The sequence below is a fragment of the Homo sapiens genome, chromosome 13 (genome assembly GCF_000001405.40).
Source record: "Homo sapiens chromosome 13, GRCh38.p14 Primary Assembly".
Classification (NCBI taxonomy): Eukaryota; Metazoa; Chordata; class Mammalia; order Primates; family Hominidae; genus Homo; species Homo sapiens.
This window is the reverse complement of record NC_000013.11, coordinates 25088256-25094893: the sequence shown is the minus strand read 5'-3', so window position 1 is coordinate 25094893 and position 6638 is coordinate 25088256. Positions and strand designations below refer to the sequence as shown.

The following is a 6638-nucleotide window of genomic DNA, read 5'->3' as shown; positions in this document are numbered from 1 at the left end:
TACAAATAATTTATTTTAGGGTTTTTTGTTTGTTTGTTTGTTTAGATAGAGTCTCGTTCTGTCACCCAGGCTGTAGTGCAGTGGTGCGATCTTGGTTCACCGCAACCTCCACCTCCCGGGTTCAAGGGATTCTAGCGCCTCAGCCTCCCGAATAGCTGGGATTACAGGCAGGCACTACCACGCCTGGCTAATTTTTGTATTGTTTTTAGTAGAAACGGGGTTTCGCCTTGTTGGCTAGGCTGGTCTAGAATTCCTGACCTCAGGTGATCCGCCCACCTACGCCTGCCAAAGCTCTGGGATTACAGGCGTGAGCCGCCGCGCCTAGCCTAGAGTAGAGGGTTTCTTTAAATAGTGGTTGCCACTAATATAAAATTCAATTAAAAGTTTAAAAATGAAGTTGATACACAGCTTTTTAGGAGCACGTCCATCATTTCAACAATGTGGTCTTGTAAAAACCAAGTGCTAGGAAGGGTGTGGTTACTCAACAATATGAGATCGATTTTCTGCCTCATTAACAAAAGCAAAATGCTCTTCCAGAGAAAGGCATCTTCGCAGAACCATTTCGGTGTGTTCATGGGCAGGAAAGCAGATTCCCCACAGATACAGCCCACGGAATATACACTTGGGTGGAAGAAAACCGGGATGAATGTATCAAAATTCCAGGCTTCTTGGAGACCTATGATTTAATTTGTAACTTCATTTTCAGATTTCCCAGAAGTTTTGAGGATTGCAATCCCAAGCCCAGTGATGGTAGAGCATTTAAAACAAGCCTAGACCATACAGGAGAAGGTTATTTCCACTGGACAACTAATCTGCCGATTGTATTATGGTTTAGAGAAAATCCTGATGCAGTTAGCAAACAAATTGATTTGTGTGGAAAAATTTTGTCTGGAAGGAAAAGGAACTGAATAGATAGAAGGGATTTATTTATTATTATTATTATTTTTATTTTGAAGACAGGGCCTCACTCTGTTGCCCAGGCTGGAGTGCAGTGGCCGCAGCTCACTGCAGCCTTCACCTCCCAGGCTTAAGAGATCCTCCCACCTCAGCCTCCCAAGTAGCTGGGACTAGAGGCACATGCCACCACACCCAGCTAATTTTTGTATTTTTGGTAGAGATGGGGTTTTGCCATATTGCCCAGGCTGGTCTGGAACTCCTGAGCTCTCCAACTCCTGAGCTTAAGCAATCCACCCACCTCGGCTTCCCAAAGTGCTGGGATTGCAGGCGTGAGCCACCACACCTGGCCAGAGAAATTTCTTCTTTCCCAGATTCTTCTAAGTTTATATCGGCATATTATATGGTTTAATCACAGCTCTCAGTCACCATGGTTTCCAGAGTAACAGGGAATGGAAATCCCCATGTCTAATTCCTACACTTTCCCTCTTCCCTTTTGTGGAGCTTCCTTTTCATTTCATGATTTTTAGCAATTATAAGTTTGACTGCTTCTCTTCTGGAGAGTTGGTAATCTGTAGAAAACATCTAGTCTTTGGTTTGTCGTCAGATAATACTGAAGGTAGTCTTATGCACAAATAAGGCAGAATAAAGTCGATTCTTATGTTTAAAAAAGAATTAAAAGTGGAAAGCCTCAAATATGGGCTGTCAGGCTACCCTGTTGACATATTATTGTGGACAATGGTGTCAGATTGTACAGTGGGGTTGTAAATGTTGCACCTACACATATTGTCCAAATAGAAACATACAAAATGACACTTCTGTACTTGTCCAAATAGAGAAGTACAAAAATACACACTTTTGGGCAAAGAACATGAATAGACACTTCTCAAAAGAAGACATACATGTGACCAATGAACATGAAAAAAAGCTCAACATCACTGATCACTATAGAAATGCAAATCAAAACCAGAATGAGGTACCATCTCACATCAGTCAGACTGACTATTACTAAAAATCAAAAAACAACAGATGCTGGTGAGGTTGTGGAGAAAAACAAACACTTTTACACTGTTGGTGGGAGTGTAAATTAGTTCAACCATTGTGGAAGACAGTGTGGTGATTCCTCAAAGATCTAGAGGCAGAAATACCATTTGACCCAGCAATCCCATTACTGGGTATATACCCAAAGGAATATAATCATTCTATTAAAAGATACATGCATGCATATGTTCATTGCAGCACTGTTCACAATAGCAAAGACATGGAATCAACATAAATCCCCATCAATGATAGACTGGATAAAGAAAATGTGATACATATATACCATGGAATACTATACAGCCATAGAAAGAAACGAGATCATGTTCTTTATGGGGACATGGATGAAGGTGGAGACCATTATCCTTAGCAAACTAACGCAGGAACAGAAAACCAAATACCACATGCTCTCACTTGTAAGTGGTAGCTAAATGACGAGAACACATGAACATACAGGGGGAGAACAACACACACTGGAGTCTGCTGGAGGGTGCAGGGGGAGGAGGGAGAGCATCAGGAAGAATTGCTAATGGATGCTGGCTTAATACCTGGGTGATGGGATGATCTTTGCGGCAAACTACTATGACACACGTTTACCTATGTAACAAGCCTGCACATCCTGCACATGTACCCCTGAACTTGAAATAAAAGTTGGAAATTAAAAAAATGTTTTTAAAAAAATACACACTTTCAAGACTGTGAAAATCAGCATAGGTAGGAACCCAACAGACAATGAATAGAAAGAAAATCATAATTAAGACCATTTTCATTGGTCAGAGTCTGTGAGTCTGGTGAAGAGGTGAAGAAGGAGCATGTCTAATCTCATCTCATTAACCAAGCTGGCCAACAAAGACACACGCCTGCTCTTGGTCCATTCTGTCTGGATGAGGCTAGCAAATGTTCACCTTACAACATGGGTGTTAACGGGCATGAGGAACTCATTCTAAGATAGGGAGTATTTCTCAGATAACACACTAATATTCACCACTCTGGGTTTTTCTTTTAAACATGTATTTTTTCTTGCTTTTCATGTATTTTTATGTTTTTAAATTTTTGAACAGGGGATACAGTTACAGTTCCTTGGTGGCTGTGGAGCTCTGTGGAACTCTGAGGGTGGTGAAAATGGCAGGGGTTGTGTGCACTGGCTTTCCAAGATTGAGCTTAGGATGAGTGGGGCAGGCCAACTAAGCATTTTTGGCCACTTCATTTTTTTGTTTGTTTGTTTGTTTCACTCTGTTGCCCAGGCTGAAGTGCAATGGCATGATCTCAGCTCACTGCAACCTCCACCTCCTGGGTTCAAGCGATTCTCCTGCCTCAGCCTCCTGAGTAGCTGGGATCACAGGCACCCACCACGCCCAGCTAATTTTTGTATTTTTAGTAGAGACGGGGTTTCGCCATGTTGGCCAGCTGGTCTCAAACTCCTGACCTCAGGTGATCTGCCCGCCTCAGCCTCCCAAAGTGTTGGCATTACAAGTGTGAGCCACTGCACTTGGCCTTGGCCACTTCATTGATATTACTCTACCAGTATTGTCTCATAAAGATCATTATCTTTTCTGTAGCCAATGACTTAAGTCATGTACAGTAGTTAATAATGGAAATCTCATCGAGTGTTGTGTGGGACAGGATTTTCATTTGCCCAAAACCAGAGTTCTTCTTGATCATTGAACCAGCAGACATTATTTTCCCACTTTTATTTTTTGGCCTCTGGTGCCTAATTCTGTGCATCTTTAGTAATTGTTTTAAGATTATCTTTCAGGAACCTTTTTAGCTGGGCCATGACGGAGATTTGTCAATAGGCCCTTTAAGGGCAGCATCCTTTGCTGCGTGACCAGCAATGTGATTTCCTCTAGCTTCCATGGAGCCTAGTTTCTTTTTTAAAAAATTAATTTTTATTTCAACATATTCAGGAGGTACAAGTGCAGGTTTCTTACATGCACATATTGTGTAGTGGTAAAGTCCGGACCTTTAAGTGTACCCATCACCAGACTGGCGAACACTGTACCCAATAGGTAATTTTTCAACCTTGACCTCCCTCCCACCCTTCCACCTTTTGGAGTCTCCAGTGTCCATTATTCCCACTGAGTGTAGTTTTGTATTGTTTTGTTTTGTTTTGAGACCAAATCTCCCTCAGTCACCCAAGCTGGAGTACAGTGGCATGATCTCAGCTCACTGCAACCTCTGCCTCCCAGGTTTAAGTGATTCTCCTGCCTCAGCCTCCTGAGTACCTGGGATTACAGGCATCCGCCACCACGCCCAGCTAATTTTTGTATTTTTTAGTAGAGATGGGGTTTCACCATGTTGGCCAGGCTGGTCTCAAACTCCTGACCTCAGGTGATCCACCCAGCCTCGGCCTCCTAAAGTGCTGGGATTACAGACATGAGTCACCGCACCCGGCCCAGAGTCTAGTTCTGAATGGCCCCGAGCTTTGACAATGGCTAGGGCAGCAGGTAGCTGTGTTGTATTTAATAATTTTTGTACATAAGACCCATTCTTTATTTTGTCTCTGTTGGAAGCGAGGAAGTCTCCTTGCTTCCACAGCATTCTAAAATCACAGGCAACTCCAAGAGCATCCCTGCTGTCTGTACAAGCCTTAGCAGTCTTTCCTCAGCAAGGAGACTGCCTTGGGGAGGTCAAAGAGCTTTGCCTGCCAGGCTGAAGTGGCTACAGACAAACCAGCCACTTCCACGACTTCAAAGGCAGTAGTGATTGCATGGCCTGCGTAATACCGACCAGAGCTGATCTTTAAATGTGAGCCATCTGTAAACCAGGACAGCTCAGCATTGTCCAGGGGAGCCTCTTGCAGACCCTACCGAGGGGATAAGAGGTCTCAGAGTCAGGCAGGTGTGCGGAGTCTGGCCTGAAGGAGAGGGCAGGAGAGTTGCATGAGTAAGGTTACTACAGGTGCGAGAGTGGGAGGAGCAGGAGCTGCAGGGGCCGCAGGGAGTGAGGGAGTAGGCAGGAAGCTGCCAGGCCTGGTGCAGGTGTGAGAGCATCCACAGCTCGAGGCTCACATACACTTGGGGGTCCCACAGCTATCCCTCAGTTGCCTTGACTAACAGGGCTGCAGCGGGGACTGCTCTCAGACAGAAGGGACTCCACCGGCAATGGGATCGAGTTGTTGACTACAGTGTCCCAGAAGGTGGCATTGGCCTCCATGCTTGTGGCTTAAGATCCCCAAAGCGCTGCCTTCCTTTTCATACACAAAGAGGGAAAAGGGGAATTTCTAATTAGGATGAACCAGAGCTGGAAGATTTGCCAACTTCTCCTTTAGTTTGTTGGAAACTTGCTCTTCAGATCCTGTCCCAGTAATGGGGGCAGGTTTGGTAACTTATGTAGAGCATATAGCAATTGGACCAGGAAAGAAAAGCCAGGGACTCAGCTACGACAGTAACCAGCAAATCTGAGAAACCGCAGAGTTGGCATTTGGCTTTTGCTGAGGAAATTGCAAAACATCTTGAGCTCAGGATCTAAATGAATCTAAAATCCATTCTCTGAAATTGAACAGCCCAAATATTTCACCCAAGTTTTTACTAACTGCAGTTTTTGTTTGTTTTAAGAAAGGGTCTCCCTCTGTCACCCAGGCTGGAGGGCAGAGGTTCAATCACTGCTCACTGCAGCCTCAGCCCCCTGGGCTCAAGTGATTCTCCCACCTTAGCCTCTCAAGTAGCTGGGACTACAAGTGCACCACCACACCTGGCTAATTTTTAAATTGTTAAATTATAGAGACAGGCTCTCGCTATGTTAACCAGGCTGTTTTTGAACTTCTGGCCTCAAGCAGTCCTCCCACCTTGGCCTCCCAAAGTGCTCGGGTTGCAGGCATGAGCCACCACACCTGGCCAAGCTTCAGGTTTCTTGAGAGGCTTTTTGTCCTTTGGCAGCCAGATGCTTTGACAGATGTGCAGTCTTTCTCACAGGCTACCTTTGAAGGCGAGCAAAGAAGGACGTCATCTGCATATGGTGGTAAAGTCGAGCCTAGGGGAAAACCCACATCCTCCAAGTCCGCCTTTCATATTTGAGAAAAATAGGAAGGGCTTTCAGTAAAATCCTGGGGCCTTCCTGTCCTGGTGAATTGTTGGCCTTCCCAGGTAAAAGGAAAAAGCTCTCAGCTGGCCGGATCCAGCATAACACTGCACATGCACTTCACGGATCAACGATGGTGAAAGTTCTGCTGTCAGTGAGTGCTGGGTTTAGTACAGTGTGGTGGCTGAAACCACTGTATGCCTTGGAACAACAATGGGTTTGTTCCTCAGAGGCCCTGAGCAAACCTCTACCCACAGTTGTTTGGTTTTTTTATTAGGTAGAATTTTTTATTCGGTAGAATTGGGGTATTACCAGGACCAGTTCATAGAAAAACGAGCCCTTTTTTTGGATTCTTCTATAATAGGTTTGGAACCATCTGGTTGAGTGGATATTGTTTAATGTTAGGCAGGGGTTTGGATGGATCAATCTGGATTTTCAGAGGAAGGGTGCTATGAATTGTGCCAACGTCAGTTATTTTGCCCATAAAGAGCCAGGCATTTGGTCCAGCAGTGAAGGGGTGACATTAGTTTTGTTTTCTGAACAATATAACACATGAGAGAAGTCAGGGAGGCAGAAGACTGCCAGGCTGAGTCAGTACAGTTTGGTGTGTCAAATTCTAAAACAGTTTTCCCCTTTCAGGAAAAAAAAAAATAGTGTAGTAATCTTTTCAGAAAATCACATCTAAA

At 44.4% G+C, this 6638-nt stretch overlaps 1 annotated feature.

The window, feature by feature from the left end:
• Positions 4427 to 4927: an enhancer, noted in NCBI's record as "H3K4me1 hESC enhancer chr13:25664105-25664605 (GRCh37/hg19 assembly coordinates)". NCBI's record gives its function as "activates a minimal SCP1, AML or CMV promoter by ChIP-STARR-seq in naive H9 embryonic stem cells {active_cell/tissue: H9 hESC(naive)}" and the evidence as "EXISTENCE:reporter gene assay evidence [ECO:0000049][PMID:30033119]".